The 17,631-nt window shown below is 46.0% G+C and overlaps 1 protein-coding gene across 3 annotated transcripts in view, besides 1 other annotated feature; it reads right to left on the bottom strand.

Moving 5' to 3' along the window:
- RPA1 (replication protein A1) overlaps positions 1-17,631 on the bottom strand; it is a 70,078-nt gene that overhangs the window by 3,928 nt on the left and 48,519 nt on the right. For 2 of the 3 annotated variants that reach the window (NM_001355120.2, NM_002945.5), the window contains exons 9-16: positions 17,094-17,162; positions 16,748-16,940; positions 16,456-16,595; positions 15,464-15,612; positions 12,211-12,343; positions 7,304-7,480; positions 4,215-4,322; positions 1,060-1,146 (exon numbers count right to left, since the gene is read on the bottom strand). In NM_001355120.2, coding sequence (NP_001342049.1) covers positions 1,060-1,146; positions 4,215-4,322; positions 7,304-7,480; positions 12,211-12,343; positions 15,464-15,612; positions 16,456-16,595; positions 16,748-16,940; positions 17,094-17,162 — 1,056 coding nt within the window. The remainder of the gene's footprint in view (positions 1-1,059; positions 1,147-4,214; positions 4,323-7,303; positions 7,481-12,210; positions 12,344-15,463; positions 15,613-16,455; positions 16,596-16,747; positions 16,941-17,093; positions 17,163-17,631) is intronic. The other variant, NM_001355121.2, reaches the window with a different exon arrangement.
- Positions 13,084-13,133: a silencer, noted in NCBI's record as "silent region_7965". NCBI's record gives its function as "represses an Ori minimal core promoter by ATAC-STARR-seq in GM12878 lymphoblastoid cells {active_cell/tissue: GM12878}" and the evidence as "EXISTENCE:reporter gene assay evidence [ECO:0000049][PMID:35858748]".

Genomic DNA, 17,631 nt, shown 5'->3' with positions numbered 1-17,631 from the left:
GTTCTCTGAATGCCCGTGTCTCTCTGTATGTAATTCCTTCAGTGGCAAAATAGGGTAACCACAGTTTCTACATATAGGGTTACTAGGCTCAAGTGAGATGTTCCACGTAAAGGATGTAGAACAGTTACCTGGCAGACCATGCTCAATACTGTTTGATTATAACTATAACTAAGCTGGGCGCGGTGGCTCATGCCTGTAATCCTGGCACTTTGGGAGGCTGAGGCGGGTGGATCATCTGAGGTCAGGAGTTCGAGACCAGCCTGGCCAACATGGTGAAAACTCCGTCTCTACTAAAAATACAAAAATTAGCCGGGCATGGTGGCGGGCGCCTGTAATCCCAGCTACTCGAGGGGCTAAGGCAGGAGAATCACTTGAACCCGGGAGGCGGAGGTTGTGGTGAGCCAAGATCGTCCCACTGCACTCCAGCCTGGGTGACAGAGACTCTGTCTCAAATAAATAAATAAATAAATAAATAAATAAATAAATAAATAAATACTATATGGTATTATGGGCAATTTCAGGAATTTTCAAGGTAGTTTTAACCACACGTGGCCTTTGTTTCATATACTGACTGACTGACTTAGAAACGGGGTTTCACTATGTTACCCAGGCTGGCCTTGAACTGCTGCCTCAGTCTCCCAAGTAGCTGGGACCACAGGCACACACCACCACGCCCGGCTCATATACTTAATATACTTTTCTACAATCTAAATTTGTCAAAGATATGACTCTACTGCATGCGTTATAATTTTTTTGTCAGAACACAGACGAAAAAATCCTAGGATTTAACTGAAAAAAAATAAAAATAAAAAAAATAAACAAACAAAAAAATCCATATTGTATTCCCCACCCCCCCGCCATTGTTTCGACAAGACACTTAAGCTCTCTCTCCTTCCTCATCTGAAAATGGGGATCATAACAGCACCTGTGTTGGGCAAAGTCAGCACCGGGGTCTGGCAGTGAGTACAGTAACTCCCTGCCAGGGAGTGTCACGACACTGCCGTAGGTGACAAACAGCACCTCCCCACCACCAACCCTGCTGCCCAGGCCCTTACTTACGTTGTAGGTCTCCACTTTGACCCTGACTCTGAATATGAAAGATCGGAAGTTGGCATTCTGGAAAACTTCTTCAAATGCCTGTTCATTCTGCAAAAACAAACATAAAACTTGACACATGGAAACCACTGGACAACTTGCAAATACTGATAAGACTTTTAAAAAGACTTCTGAAAATGCATCTCCTGGGTAGTTTCAAATTACTTAGGAATGACTCATCTACAGGTAACATTACATGAAACTGTTTTAAGTAGAATCTTATTGAAAATTAAAACACTAATCACATTCATAGAAGGTAGAATGGCAGTTGTCAGGGCCAGGGAGAAGAGGGTTTTGGAAAAGGAGCTATTGCTTAATGTGCAGAGTTTCAAATCGCCACCCATGAACAGTGTGTCTCCATTCTCCCCTTCCCTCCATCCTTGGAAAACACAAGGCTGTCGTCTGTCTCTATGAATTTGCCTATTTAAAAAAGTACTGGAAAAGGATGGTGGTGACAGGGGCACAGTAATGTGAATGTACCTAACGCCACTAAACTGTACACGTAAAAATGGTTACAAAGGCAAATTTGGTTATGTATGCTTTACTAGACACAAAAAATTAAAAACGCTCTTAGGAAGTTTCTAAGACTTTAAGGCTGGGCACGGTGGCTCATACCTGTCATCCCAGCGCTTTGGGAAGCGGAAGCGGGTGGATCACTTGAGGTTGGGAGTTCAAGACCAGCCTGGCCAACACGGTGAAACCCCATCTCTACTAAAAACACAAAAATTAGCTGGGCATAGTGGCAGGTGCCTGTAATCCCAGGTACTAGGGAGGCTGAGGCAGAAGAATTGCTTCGACCTGAGAGGCGGAGGCTACAGTGAGCTGAGACTGCACTACTGCACTCCAGCATGGGCTATGGAGCGAGACTCTCAAAAAAAAAAAAAATTAGGAGGTCAGGTATGGTGGCGCGTGACTATAATCCCAATGTTTTGGGAGACCGAGGTGGGAGGACTGCTTGAGGCCAGGAGTTCAAGAATAGCCTGGGGAACATAGCAAAACCCCATCTCTACCAAAAAAAAAAAAAAAAAAACTTAAGCCAGGTATGGTGGCGTGTACCAGTAGTCCCAGCTACTCAGGAGACTGAGGTGGCAGGACTGTCTGAGCCCAAGAGTTTGAAGCTGCAGTGAGCCATGATCGCACACCACGGCGCTCCAACATGGGTGATGAGGCAAGACCTTGTCTCAAAAAAAAGAAAAAAAGGAAAAACACTCAGAAGAAAGTTCAATATAATTCGTGATTTCAGCCTCTGTATTTATAGCTACTGATTTGGTGTGCAAGCAGAGAAGACTGTTGAGGTGCGCAAAGGCTAGGGAAGGCCTAAAAACAATCCTTTTCCCTCTCTCACTCCTCAAATGCAATTTAAGTTTATTAAAAAAAAAAAAGTCTGGTAAACAGACAAGAATTAGAGAATATAGTTTGTATAAAGATGCATAAATAAATGTGTAATAACTATATTAACAGAGTTGATTGAGACCTTTGACAAAAAAAAAGAAAAACTAATTAATAGTTCACACCAACCTAGTGTTTTTTGCAAGTCACGCACGGCGTGAAAGCAGCTTTGCTATACAGAACTCTTTTCTGTAAAGGTTACTTGATCAAAACCCAAACCCAAACCAAATGGACTTTCAGATATGAAAATAAAACAATGGGTTAAAGCTTGAGAAAATTACACCGGCTGCCATTATGCTTCCAAGATGAGGGGCGTGGAGTGCGAACTCCAGGATCTCACGGTTCCTCGGGGAAGTTTCTATATGTCCTCATTCACCGGCAGAAAAAACAGTCAAATATAATAAGCTCATAAAAATCCTGAAAGGCTTACTCGGGCCTTAAAATCTGATACGAAAATTGAAGACCAGGTAAAAACAGACAAAAGATACTATCACACTTTAAAGTCAATTCTAGTTATTTCTGTAACAGGATTTGTTGAGACTATTTTGAGAGCTCTCATGGACAATTTAAAAAAAGAGTCAGGGCAGAGCCCAAACAGACAGAACTGGGGACAGGAAGAAAAAGAAAAACACACCAGAACAAATGGCAAAGCCTTTCATCTTTGTGGCCTTTACAAGTATTCCAACCAATTTGGAGGAAATCGGGGGAAAAGCCATCTACAGAAAGGTGCCCATTTATGTGGCCCAGAAAACATAGCTTTTATTGGTCTTCCTTATGTTTTACCTGAGCAACTACCTTTCCTAAATTCAGCATTATTAGCAATCTATTCTGTACATTAAATAAACCTAATATGTGAAAATGCAAACTTATAAAAATGAAATGGACAAAGTTACCTTACGGAAGAAAGTCACCGCATAAGAATTGCATCTGATGGGCTGAAATGGCAGGCACCTTATATGTGCATTTATTATTATTGTTTTATAGGACAGACCCAGGAACTTGACATACGTGCATTTTAACCAGGATCTGACTCAACTTTTCTGGAAGGTATTTACTATGTTAAAAAAGCATGCCTGTAATAATTCAGGTTGTTTCAGGGACACCTCCCGACCTAAGTCATCTCAGGCACACTAGCTCTGATGTGCTAATAGGAACAGGAGAAACGGGTGGCTTCGATTTAGAAAGTGCTTTGGTTTTAAAGTACTTTTATATACATTATTTCACTGTTAAGCACATCCCAAATGGACAAGATTAGATAACATCAGATGAGCTCTTAAATAATTATCAGGCTGAGAAACTGTATACAAACAATACCAAAAAGAAACAAACTAAAAAATATTAAACAGCAAAAAGAGGGCCAGTGTTGGGCAAGGTGTGGTGGCTCACACCTGTAATCCCAGCATTTCGGGTGGCTGAAGCGGGCAGATCATGAGGTCAGGAGTTCGAGACCAGCCTGGCCAACATGGTAAAACCCCGTCTCTACTAAAAATACAAAAACTAGCCGGGCATCGTGGCGGGTGCCTGTCATCCCAGCTACTCAGGAGGCTGGGGCAGGAGAATCACTTGAACCCGGGAGGCGGAGACTGCGGTGAGCTGAGATCGCGCCACTGCACTCCAGCCTAGGAAACAGGGCAAGACTCCATCTCAAAAAAAAAAAAATGTGTGGGGTCAGTGTTATAGAATGAGAACCATTAAAAGTTATAGAAGTTATAATAAAATATGTGGCTGACCTTGTCTTTTAATTCCCCAAGATAAGCAGCATTTTGTCCAAGGATAGCTTCAGCAGACTCCTGGAAACAAGTCACCCACTGATTCTCTTGAAAATCTGCAATATTTACCTAAAAAACACAATTCTACATTATTTCAGCAAAGAAATAATAAAAAGACACACTGAGAAGATGGGGAGAGGTTAATGTTCTTTTTCCACTTATTAAAATAATTTCCAGAGAGGGCCAGGTGCAGTGGGCTCATGCCTGTCATCCCAGCACTTTGGGAGGCCAAGGCGGGTGGAACACTTGAGGCCAGGAGTTTGAAACCAGCCTGGCCAACATGGTGAAACTCCGTCTCTACGAAAAATACAAAAATTAGCCAGGCATGGTGGCGGGTGCCTGTAATCCCAGCTACTCAGGAGGCTGAGGCGGGAGAATCACTTGAACCCGGGAGGCGGAGGTTGCAGCGAGCTGAGATCGAGCCACTGCACTCCAGCCTGGGTGACAGAGAGAGGCCCATCAGATTAGTTCCTGTCGAGGTGCAGCTGGCTTTGGATGAAGGGTTTTGAGTGAATCGGGGGAGTTCTCTGCATTTTCAATTGCCCACTCTGTAGTTCCTAGGAGGAGTTCCATGAGACGGCTCTGTCACTGCTGGGCACCCAGACAACTGAAGAGCCTGCCCGTGAGCCTCTGTCAGTCACCAAATTGACCTGGCAAAGGAAATGAGCAATCAAATGTCTCCCACTGGGCTGTGGTGTAACATTAAACAGGGCAAAGTCAAGGAAGAAAGCAGATCTCAAAGAATCCACTTGCTGAAGTAAAAGCCTTTGTAGAAACACGAGTGGTTTTTCTTTAAGGCATCATTTTGACGATTTTACATCTTCATTTTGCATGGGTACAAGGCTTTTAATAGAGAGAATGTTATGACGAAAAATAAGGTGACGAAACCAGTTAAAAGTGAAAAGCGCTCTCAATACACAGCAACGGTATCACACCCTGGGCTCACACTTCCTTTAACCCACGCTATCCTTCTAAGAAGCAAAGAGCATCTCATCACACAGGGCAAGAACTACAATGACGCACACGTGTGATAAATATCAAATCAAACAAGTGTGCGGGAGATTGCGCTGTGGAGTTTAACAGAAAGGCTGATGTTTCCACAAACTAAAACAAATTTTCTTCATCTTAGTTCAATGAAAAGTTTATAGTTTACAAAAAATGAGCCTAAACGTAGAACTGTCCTGCTAAGCTAACATTTCATTTTATTTATCATTTATTAATTTAATTTATTTATTTATTGAGATGGAGTCTTGCTCTGTCACCCAGGCTGGAATGCAGTGGCGCGATCGTGGCTCACTGCAAACTCCACCTCCCGGGTTCATGCCATTCCCCGGCCTCAGCCTCCCTAGTAGCTGGGACTGCAGGTGCCCGCCACCACGCCTGGCTAATTTTTTTGTACTTTTAGTAGAGACAGGGTTTCACTGTGTTAGCCAAGATGATCTCGATCTCCTGACCTCGTGATCCGCCTGCCTCAGCCTCCCAAAGTGCTGGGATTACAGGCGTGAGCCACCGTGCCCGGCCTATTTATTTATTTTTTAAAGACAGGGTCTGACTCTGTCACCCAGGCTGGAGTGCAGTGCCACGATCATGGCTCACTGCAGCCTTGACCTCTCGGGCTCAAGCGATCCTCCTACCTCAGCCTCATGAGTAGCTGGGACAAGTGCATACCACCACAGCCAGCTAATTTTACTTTTTGTAGAGACAGGGTCTTGCCATGTTGCCCAGGCTGATATCGAACTCCCAGCCTCAAGCAATCATCCTGCCTCAGCCTTCCAAAGTGCTGGGGTTACAGGCACAAGTCACTGCGCCTGGCCAATATGAACATTTTTCAGGCTTCTGATATATTACTGCCAAATCATCCTTTGGAAAAATGTGAAACTGTTTTCTTTTTCTCTTTTCTTGAGATGGAGTTTTGCTCTTGTCGCCCGGGCTGGAGTGCAGTGGTGTGATCTCGGCTCACTGCAACCTCTGCCTCCCGGGTTCAAGCGATTCTCCTGCCTCAGCCTCCCGAGTAGCTGGGACTACAGGCACCCGCCACCACGCCCGGCTAATTTTTGTATTTTTAGTAGAGACAGGGTTTCACCATGTTGGCCAGGCTGGTCTCAAACTCCTGATCTCAGGTGACGCACCCGCCTCGGCCTCCCAAAGTGCTGGGATTACAAAAGTGAGCCACTGTGCCCGGCCTTAAACTGTTTTCTTAAACTGCTATTATCGCCTAGTTCTATCATTGAAAACAAAACAAAACAAAATAAAAATCTTAAGGCCGGGTGCAGTGGCTCAGGCTTGTAATGCCAGCACTTTGGAAGGCTGAGGTGGGAGGATGACATGAGGCCAGGAACTTGAGACCAACCTGAACAGCAGAGCGAGACCCTGTCTCTACAATAAAATAATTTTAAAAATTAGCTGGGTGTGGTGGTGCACAGCTGTAGTTGCAGCTACTTGGGAGGCCAAGGTGGAAGGACTGCTTAAGCCCGGGAGGTTGGGGCCACCATGAGCTGTGATGATACCATTGCACTCTATTCTGGGCAACAGAGTGAGACCCCTGTTTCTTAAAAAAAAAAAAAAATTTTTTTAAACCCAACTTTACAACTTTTTTAAAAAGGTTTTTAAAACAGAAAGAAACAATTCTTAAAATGCAAAAAAGCAACAATCTCACATCAGCACACCGTCACATTCCTCTGAAGTCAGCTATACTAAAGCTAGAGAATAGATTATCCACATGAAAGTGACTAAATACGGGCATTGGCTGTGTAAGTACAATTAGTGCTGTCTATAAATGCCGTTTTCAAATTAATTTATCTTCATAGCAGTTAGCAGGCAAGTGTCACTGACGCTATGGCTGTATGACGTGCATGAAAGACTGAATCAGCTGGGGTATCTCAACACCACTTTCTGGCATGAAAAAGCGGATGGATAAGCTCTTCCACACCTACTCATCTGCGGGCTTCCTACCAGGAATGCTTTGTCTCTACTGTTGTGACCACAGTGCCTGGCACACGGGAGGGCCTCCGTGAACACAACCGTGGTTCTCATCTACCGAGGCTACTTACTGACAGGATCATGCGGTACTTGAAATTGGGAAATTCGGTGTCGCACTTCTCACAGCGGTACAATCCATTCTGTTGATCAATCACTTTCTTATTGCAGTCCTGAGTCGGGCAGGCTTGGTACATGCAGTTCTCTTTGCGAAGATACACCACTGTGGCCACAGAACTAAAGTAGTCCGGCTTCGGGAGAAAAGAACAGCATGAGGCACGGAGTCGCGAGCCCGCCCAGGATCGGACCGAGAGGCAGCTCAAAGCCTGCCCTTACGTTTAGGTGGTAAGTGTTTCTACATCCTCAAGATTACACATGATCACAGGGAATCATTCATTCTGTAGTTTTAGAAATCACATGTGCCGAGTACAAAACCCATGAAGGTAATAAGCCAAGTTCTAATAAGCCAAGTTCTGAGGCAGATAATTCCTTCACAATAAAAGAGTTAATCCTAAATTACACTAAGTTAATTAAAAGTGAAATTGTTTTCCTGTTTGCTTGAACACTGTATGAAAGACAAAGATTTGTTCCTCCCGATCCTCTGACCCTCCAAAGGCCACAGATCTAGGAAATACAGAATGCGGACCACAAACACCCAGTGCAGCAACGATCAACCATCCCTCCCGCGCTCAAAACACGGCAGTCGTGTCTAGGCCTAGATTCACCTTTTCCTTGTTTAGGCCAGGGATCAGCAAGCTGCTTCTGTAAAAAGCCAAACAGTAAATATTTCAGGCCTTAGCAGCCATTTGGTCACAGTCTCTGCTGCAACTACAGACACACCTCACTTTATTGTGCTTTGCTTTACTGCACTTGACAGATACGGCATTTTTTACAGATTGAAGACTTGTGGCACCCCTGGGTCAAGTAAATGCACTATTTTCCCAATAGCAGGTGCTCACTTTATGTCTCTGTGTCACATAAAGACAGTAATTCTTGCAAGATTTCAAACTTTTTCATTATATATGTATTTTTTGAGACAGAGTCTCGCTCTGTCGCCCAGGCTGGGGTGCAGTGAGTGGTGTAATCTCTGATCACTGCAGCCTCCACCTCCCAGGTTCAAGTGATTCTCCTGCCTCAGCCACCCAAGTAGCTGGGACTACAGGCGTGCACTACCACGCCTGGCTAATTTTTGTATTTTTTAGTAGAGATGGGGTTTTGCCATGTTGGGTAGGCTGGTCTCGAACTCCAAACCTCAAGTGATCCACCCACCTTGGCCTCCCGAAGTGCTAGGATTATAGGAGTAAGCCACCATGCCTGGCCCTTTTTCATTATTATCATATCTGTTATGGTGATTTTTTTTTTTTTTCTGAGACGGAGTCTCGCTCTGTCACCAGGCTGGAGTGCAGTGGCATGATCTCAGCTCACTGAAATCTCCGCCTCCCAGGGTCAAACGATTCTCCTGCCTCAGCCTCCCGAGAAGCTGGGACTACAGGCATGCACCACTACGCCCAGCTAATTTTTGTATTTTTAGTAGAGACGGGGTTTTAACCACGTTGGTCAGGATGGTCTCGATCTCCTGACTTCAGGTGATCCGCCTGCCTCAGCCTCCCAAAGTGCTGGGATTACAGGAATGAGCCACCGCGCCTGGCCTACAGTGATCTTTAACGTCACTATTGTAGTTGTTCTGGGGTGCCACCAACTACACCCATATAAGATGGGGAACTTATATTGATGAATGTTGTATGTATGCTGACTGATCCTCCAATCAAGTATTCCTGTCTCTCTTCTTTGAATACACAAATAAGAAAGCAAACAGCCTTACTGCTGATATGGAGTAAGCTGTAGTGGTCTAGATAGAATATCAAGCAAGCCACAACATTCTCTTAAGCCAAAGCCTAACCCAGAGCAAGGCCTCACCTTTCTTCAATTCTGTGAAGGCTGAGAGAGGTCAGGAAGCTGCAGAAGAGGCCAGGTGCAGTGGCTCACACCTGTAATCCCAGCACTTTGGGAGGCAGAGGCAACATGATTGCCTAAGCCAAGGAGTTCGATACCAGCCAGGCAACATAGTGAGACCTAGTCTCTACAAAAATCTGTCAGGGCACGGTGGTGTGCACCTGTAGTCCCAGCTACTCCAGAGGCTGAGGTGAGCTGTGATTGCACCACTGCACTCCAGCCTGGGTGACAGAGTGAGACTCTGTCTCAAAAAAAAAAAAAAAAAAAGCTGCAGAAGAAAAGATGGCAGCCAGCAGATGTTGGTTCATGAGGTTTAAGGAAATAAGCCGTCACCATAACAAAAGTGCAAGGTGAAGCAGCAAGTGCTGATGGAGAAGCTGCAGCAAGTTATCCAGAAGATCTAGCTAGGACCACCAATGAAGGTGGCTGCACTCAACAACAGATTTTCAACGTAGACAGAATAGCCTTCTGGAAGAAGATGCCATCAAGAACATTCGTCCTAGAGAGTAGAAATCAATGCCTGGCTTCAAAGCTTCAAAGGAAAGGCTGACTCTCCTGTTAGGCGCGAATGCAGCTGGGGACTATAAGGTGAAGCCAGTGCTCATTGACCATGTCAAAAATCTTAGGGCTCATAAGAACTATGCTAAATCTACTTTGCCTCTGCTTTATAAATAGAATATCAAAGCTTGGATGACAGCATATCTATTTATAGTGTAGTTTATTGAATATTTTAAGCCCACTGTTGAGACCTACTACTCAGAAAAAGAGACTCCTTTAAAAATATGACTGCTCATTGACAATGCACCTGTTCACCCGAGAGCTCAATGGAGACACACAGTACGAGGAGATTAATATATTGACAATGCACCTGTTCACACAAGAGCTCAATGGAGACACACAGTACAAGGAGATTAATATATTGACAATGCACCTGTTCACCCAAGGGCTCAATGGAGACACACAGTACAAGGAGATTAATATATTGACAATGCACCTGTTCACCCGAGGGCTCAATGGAGATGCACAGAACAAGGAGATTAATATTGTTTTCATGCTTGATAACAACATCTATTCTGCAGCCCATGCAAATCAAGGAGTAATTTTGACTTTTTAAGTCTAAGAGACATATTTCATGAGGCGATAGTTGCCACAGTGATTCCTCTGATGGATCTGGGGAAAGTAAATTGAAAACCTGAAAAGGATTCACCATTCTAGATGCTATTAAGAACAGTTGGCTGGGCACAGTCGCTCACACCTGTAACTCCTGGCACTTTGAGAGGTTGAGGCAGGGAGATCCCTTGAGCCCAGGAGTTTGAGAGCAGCCTGGGCAACATGACACAACTCAGTCTCTACAAAAAATACAATTAGCCAGGTGTGGCAGCACCTGTAGTCCCAGCTTGGGAGCCTGGGGAGGTTGAGACTGCAGTGAGCTGTGATCAAGCCAGTGCACTCCAGCCTGAGTGACAGAATGAGACCCTGTCTCAAGTTAAAAAAAAAAGGAACATTCATGATTCATGGGAGGAGATCAAAATCCCAACATCAACGGGAGTTTGGAACAAGTTGATTCCAACCCTCAAGGTAGACACTGAGGCTTCAAGACTTTGGTGGAGGAGGGATCTGTAGATGTGACGAAAATAACGAGAGAACTAGAATTACAAATGGAGCCTGAAAATGGGCCTGAACTGCTGTAATCTCACGATCAAACTTGAACGGATAAGGAGCTGCTCCTTACGATGGGCAAGGAAAGTGCTTTCTTGAGATGAAATCTCTTGTGGTGAGAACGCTGTGAGCATTGTTGAAATGACGACAAAGGATTTAGAATTTGCATAAGCTTGGCTGATAAAGCAGTGACAGGACCTGAGAGGGAGAGACTCCAGTTTGAAAAAGTTCTCCTGTGGGTAAAATGCTGTCAAACAGCATCGCCGGCTATGGAGAAAGCTTTTGTGAAAGGAAGAGTCAACCAATGTGGCACACTTCACTGCTGTCTTATTTTAAGAAACTGCCAAAGACACGCCGATGTTCAGCAACCATCGCCGTGACTGCTCAGCCATCAACCCTGAAACAAACCCCCACCAGCAAGAAGATTACGACTCAGATGATTGTCAGCATTTTTCAGCAATAAAGTTTTTGTTTCAAGAGAAGGGGTCTTCCATGTTGCTCAGTCGAACTCCTGGGCTCATGTAATCCACCTGCCTCAGCCTCCTGGGTAGCTGGGATTACAGAGAACCGAAAGAGTGGGTGTCCCATGACAGGACAACGAGGATCTGTCCAGTGTTTAATTCTTGAGATGTTCTATAAGAGCACTTAAGAGCTGCTGTTGACAATGATGGATAAGGGTATACAGTGAAATGAGACAGGAGGAATGAAACCTACACTGTATATGATGAAAATAAAAGAGCAGGCGTAAAGGAGAAATAAATGATCTAAATACTAAACTGCTGGCAGAACACAGGCTTAGATCAAGATGGGAGGAGGGTCATTAAATACAAACACTGAAAGGAAAAAGCTGCAACTAAAAGTCAAATGTCAGGGCCAATCCTTGTCCGGGAATGCCGGCAGCTCTCAGCCTATGAGGTTAATACACTATTCTACAGCCAGGAACAGCACCCGTGAAACTGCCTCATGTCTGACCTGAGGCGGACTAACGCTCATCTCAAAAAACATCTTTTTGATATGTGGGCGCTTAAATTTGCAGGAAGGATCACAGGAAAGAAACGTGGACCCGAAAGCAGGTGATATTATACCACAAAGCTTGACTGTCACCCCTGCTCCAAGATCCCTCTAGGAATTGACTCTAAGAGTTCTTCAGACTCTCCTGCCTCCAGTCCCCTGAGGGGTAACACATATTCCCATGAGCACACCTGGCTGCTTCCCTCTGCCAGTGATTCTCAACCCCCATGCCACGCTCAGGTCACAGCCCCGGGTAAGAATTACGGCTCTGACAGCTGGTGCTGGAAACCAAGTTTCTAAATCCATCCTTCTGCACACTTTACAGCCCTTTGTGAAGGTGGTTAGGAATGCTGGGTACCTTGTCGCCTTGGCCCAGGTTCTCGGATTTGACCTCATACAAGGTTTTCCAGTTGGTGTTACTCCCTCCGACTCCGCCGCTCTTTAGATCAGAGATGGAAACACCATCTAAGGCTTGTCCTTCTGCGTCAAACCTGAAAACGTGAACGAATAACGATGACGAGCGCTTGATGTGACATGCTTCTGCTTCTCCACATGCAACTTGCTGCTACGCGACAGACACAGGTTTCCCACCACCCGCCCAGCTTTCACACAGGTCACGGTCATGTCGGCTGAAGCTGGTATCTTCGTAATTATATATTTTTTATAATATTTAAATTAAAAAAAATTGTGTCAGAGTTTCACTCTGTCACCCAGGCTGGAGTGCAATGATGCAATCATGGCTCAAGGCAGCTTTGACCCCCTGAGCTCAGTGATCCTCCCACCTTTGCCCTGCTAAGTAACTGGGACTTCCATGCCCAGGCCCATTAAAAAAATTTTTTTTAGGCTGGGCGCAGTGGCTCATGCCTGTAACCCCAGCATTTTGGGAGGATGAGGCGGGCGGATCACGAGGTCAAGAGATCAAGACTATCCTGGCCAACATGGTGAAACCCCGTCTCTACTAAAAATACAAAATTAGCCGGGCGTGGTGGTGGGTGCCTGTAATCCCAGCTACTCGGGAGGCTGAGGCAGGAGAATCACTTGTAGGCAATTCTCAGGAGGCGGAGGTTGCAGTGAGCCGAGATGGCGCCATTGCACTCCAGCCTGGGCAACAAGACCGAAACTCCGTCTCGAAAAAAAAATTTTTTTAAGAGATGGGGTCTTGCTCTGTTGGCCAGGCTGATCTCAAACTCCTGGACTCAGACAATCCTCCTCCCTCGGCCTCCCAAAGTGCTGGGATTACAGGGCGTGAGGCACTGCTCCTGGCCCAAAGTCTACTGAAGAAACGGAATGACCTTTCTTTGAATCTCAGTTGCTTTGATGCCCCCCAGTGGTGAAGAGAATCAGTGCCAAAGTACCAAAGAATCTTTTCTTAAACTAGCCTTGCATATTGGCAGTGGCCAGACCACCCCAGGCCTAAAATCAGAAACTGGGAAAGTCAACAACCCGTAAGCTATAAAGTGGCCGTCTGGGGTAGTCCTTTAATCTGCTAATGCTCATTCTCAGGCAGCAGCTGCGTGGTGATCATCACCGAAATGTACCAGTGTGGAAACGGACAGCCAATATACCGTGGTAGCAAAAGTGTTTCCATAAAAGGCCTCCTATGCCTGATACAGAAGCCAAAAGTGGTTTTTTTGTTTTGAGACAGAGTCTTGCTTTGTCACCCAGGATGGAGTGTGGTGGTACCAACTTGGCTCGCTGCAACCTCCACCTCCTGGCAAGTGATTCTCGTGCCTCAGCCTCCCGAGTAGCTGGGACTACAGGCACGCACCGAGTAGCTGGGACTACAGGCCCGGCTGATTTTTGTATTTTTTGTAGAGACGAGGTTTCACCATGTTGGCCAGGCTGGTCTTGAACTCCTGGCCTCAAGCAATTGTCCACCTCGGCCTCCCAAAGTGCTGGAATTAAGGTATGAGCCACCGTGCCTGGCCCAAAAGATTTTATAAACCAGAGCAACTTATCAGAAGGCATTATCTTTTTTCTTGTAGATTTACCTTCTTAGTGAAATTTTACTTTTGCTAATATCGAAGCTAAATTAATTTGTATTAAATTATTATGAAAACTGATTGTACTTCTTGATCACACATCAATTGATATGAAGGAAAAGGGGCCAAGGAGAAAGTGGCTCGGGAACACAGTGGTGGCGGAGAGGAGCTGGCCGGAGATGAAAGGCCAAATACCATCCCAAGGTGGGTAACCACACAAAGAACAGGTTCCTTAAACAGAGACCATCTAACAGAATGGATGTTACCCTGAGCTGCAGACAGCTGCCTTCTCCTGTCAGGTAAGCGGCTAAATCCCTCACAGGGGCACAGCAAGGCCCATCCATCTGTTTCACCACTACTAGCTACACAAGTTCACGGTTTCAAAAGCTCCAAGGAGACATTTGCCACCAAAGATCACTCGTCAGGAGTCAAGGCGGCCCTTCTTACAATAAAAACTCTGCATTGTTATAGCCAAGATCTAAACATCTCTAATCCTTGTCCAGGTATCATGTATGCACTGAGCTTGTCTTTGATCAATGCCAAGTTATTTTATTCTGGGGACAGCCGTGCTTTTTATGTTGACTGGGATCATGATTATTGACAAGTAAAAGATGAAGACATTAATGTGGGAATGCAATTTTAATGTGGGAATGCGATTTTAATGTGGGAATGCAATTAACCTGGAGTCGAACTCCAGAGCCTAAAAGAAAATCAAGCAATAAGAAAAAAGCAAATCTGTGGCTAGTTCTGGTCAGACTATGAACGGGCCCTGCAGTTCGGCAGATACGTGTGGACCGTACTACTCATGAGGATGGCTCAGTGACATGAACATTCCAGAAGATGCTTCATGAAACTGGTCAAACACCAGTGCCATTGGTTTAAATGACTCAAAACAAAGGAGGAGTATGTAAAATGAGCTCATTCTTTAGCTGCTTAAATCCTAAGACACAGCTGGAAACTGACACACTTCCCCCCCATAGACTACAGCTATGGGAATTATTGAAGCTTGGGTGAAAGTGTTTTCCCTGACCACATCAATTCTTGCATCCTGTGTCTCAGTTTGAAGTACTCTTTTAAGACAGAGTTTGAATGTCCTAAAAAGCTAGATACAGTGAGGAGATTTTAACAGGCTCTCCTCATCCCTTGAGTGCTTTGGGAATAACAATCTAATCCTAACAAAAAGCCCATTGTTCTCACCACACTTGATCAGAGTCTAGTGAATACACACTAGAAGATGTGATCGGCACCAAAGACTTGACAGAGAAAGAAAGCATGTGTTCCCCCACGCCACAGAGGCCCAGAGCCTAAACCCTGGAAAGAAAGGCGCCTTCAGCACACCGCTGCTGAAGCCTGGCCGTCCCCTCCTTTGGCAGGATCGAGGTCAGCAGGCAGCACTTACATGCTAATTGCCTCCTCCGACTCTCTAGGTTTGTCCTGGGATTACAGGTTTGTCCGTTTAAGGGCTTTAAAGCCCTCCTCACAGAAGGCATAATGCCTTCAAGAAACACGGAAGCTGCACCACTCAGGGACGAAGGCTTCTGCTTGGCAGAAAGCTCCCATGCTGATTGTAACCAGCTTTTCTCAAAGCCCAGCCTCAAGTAACCCTTTGTTTAGCCCCACAAAACCTACCATCCACGAAGCTTATAGGCCTCTGGGATGTCAGGATTCGCAATGATAGTGCTTGAAGACAGCACGGAGAGGCTCCGTCCACCGAAATCAGAGACTCGGGCTCCTTTGATAGCCAACACGGGCTGTCTAGAACCATCAAATTTATCAGCCTGTAAAAGAAACACCAGACATATACAAGTGTCACTAGCAGGAAGAACACAGAAGATTTTTATAGAAAACAAGGCAAACATTCAATAGTAGAGTGAATGTAATCAGCGTACATGGAATCCATACAAGACAGACCTCACACATGAGAATCTACTCAGAGACACATCAAAACTATCACTGCTTTCCTAGAGTTAGGGGAAAGAGCATTTCCCCGCGTAAAGCTTGAATCACAGCAAATCTCACAGAAGTAAGATAAAGGATTTTAAATACTTACCAGACAGCACAATCCTTCCCATCTACATGGTGAAAGCCCCCAACTCATAGGACAAAACCGCCCCCACGAGGAGCTCCTCCTGTGTGTGCTAACAGCCCCATCCTATAGGACAAGACGCCCCCTCCGCCAACCCCAGGAGCTCCTCCTGTGTGTGCTGAAGGCCCCATCCTATAGGACAAGACCCCTCCCTCCCCCAACCCCAGGAGCTCCTCCTGTGTGTGCTGAAGGCCCCATCCTATAGGAACAGACGCCCCCTCCGCCAGCTCCAGGAGCTCCTCCTGTGTGTGCTGAAGGCCCCATCCTATAGGACAAGACCCCTCCCTCCCTCAACTCCAGGAGCTCCTCCTGTGTGTGCTGAAGGCCCCATCCTATAGGACAAGATGCCCCCTCCGCCAACTCCTGGAGCTCCTCCTGTGTGTGCTGAAGGCCCCATCCTATAGGATAAGACCACTCCCTCCCCCAACTCCAGGAGCTCCTCCTGTGTGTGCTGAAGGCCCCATCCTATAGGACAAGACCACGCCCCAACCCCAGGAGGTCCTGTGCGTGTTGAAGACCCCATCCCAGCACTTACATCTTCCCCCCACAGTGTAGCAGTCACCACCTTCCCGGATGTGTCCATCAAGTAGATATTCCTCTTGGCAACTTCTCTGTTGTTAGACCTCACTGTGATTTTAGTGGCGTCTTCATAGCTCTTGCAGATCCCGATGATGTCTAAAACACATGCACGTGTTAGCAGGAGGTGGTCAAGACTCCCATTCCGACGCCAGCAAATGATGAACGGCAAGCACTGAAGCCTGACACCACCCCGTACACTGCAAAGAAAGCTAGTCATCCCTGCTCTTCCTTCTCATACACGAGCTTACCTACAAGTGAGTCTTTCGACTTGTTCTCGAGGTCATCAATCCCCGTGAAATCAAACTGAACCGTAGGTAAATGATGGTCGTCCTCACAGGGCATGACGGAAGTCTCGTTATTGAAGGTCATCTCGTAGTCATTTTTAACAGCTGTGAACTGCTTGTTAGCAATCTTCAGGGTGCCTTTCGAGAAATAATACACCTGCGAAGGAGGCCAAGCCACAGAACCTGAGACTACCATCAAATCGGACAGAAACCCCTAGTCTGCCACCACACACCCCTCCCCTGGGCCAGCGTCTTTTCATCCGCACTCCACCCCCAGGCGGTGTCAGTTCTAAAGTCAGCACGGCCATACCTTGTTCACTTCAATAAGAGGAAAGAACTTGTCCACTTGCTCATTGAAAGCTGTAGCTCGGATTTCACCCTGCAGAAGCACGTGGGCAGGTTAGGGCTGCGGGATTGAACACAGGCCACCCCAGCACCCAAGTGACACTGGGATAGAACACAGGCCACCCTAGCACCAAAGTGACATCTTGAGAGCAGTGGCCCTTGCACAAACAGGGTCCAGAGAGGGCTACGGACATCCCAGGAACCCGCATTTTACAGTCACACACTGAAGTCACTGGCCCCGCTGAAGAATGAGAATTTCAGCTAGCCGATCCCATAATCATGCTGCATTAGCCTCAACTGAGAAACAGAACAGAACAAAACGGCAATGACGAGTTTAATTTATTCTGACAATAAAAACAAAAAAAGTTGAATACTGAGGGACACGCCCAGAGCCCACGAGGAAGGTGCTGCCACGGGGTGATTCACCGGCTCCCTCCACAGTGCCCTCTCAGTGACAAACCACTTCACATTCGGAGCCATTGCCAAAAATGTCAGAGTAAGTC

This window comes from Homo sapiens, chromosome 17, assembly GCF_000001405.40.
Source record: "Homo sapiens chromosome 17, GRCh38.p14 Primary Assembly".
Classification (NCBI taxonomy): domain Eukaryota; kingdom Metazoa; phylum Chordata; class Mammalia; order Primates; family Hominidae; genus Homo; species Homo sapiens.
The sequence above is the reverse complement of the archived record's forward strand: the minus strand, read 5'-3'. Positions and strand labels throughout refer to the sequence as shown.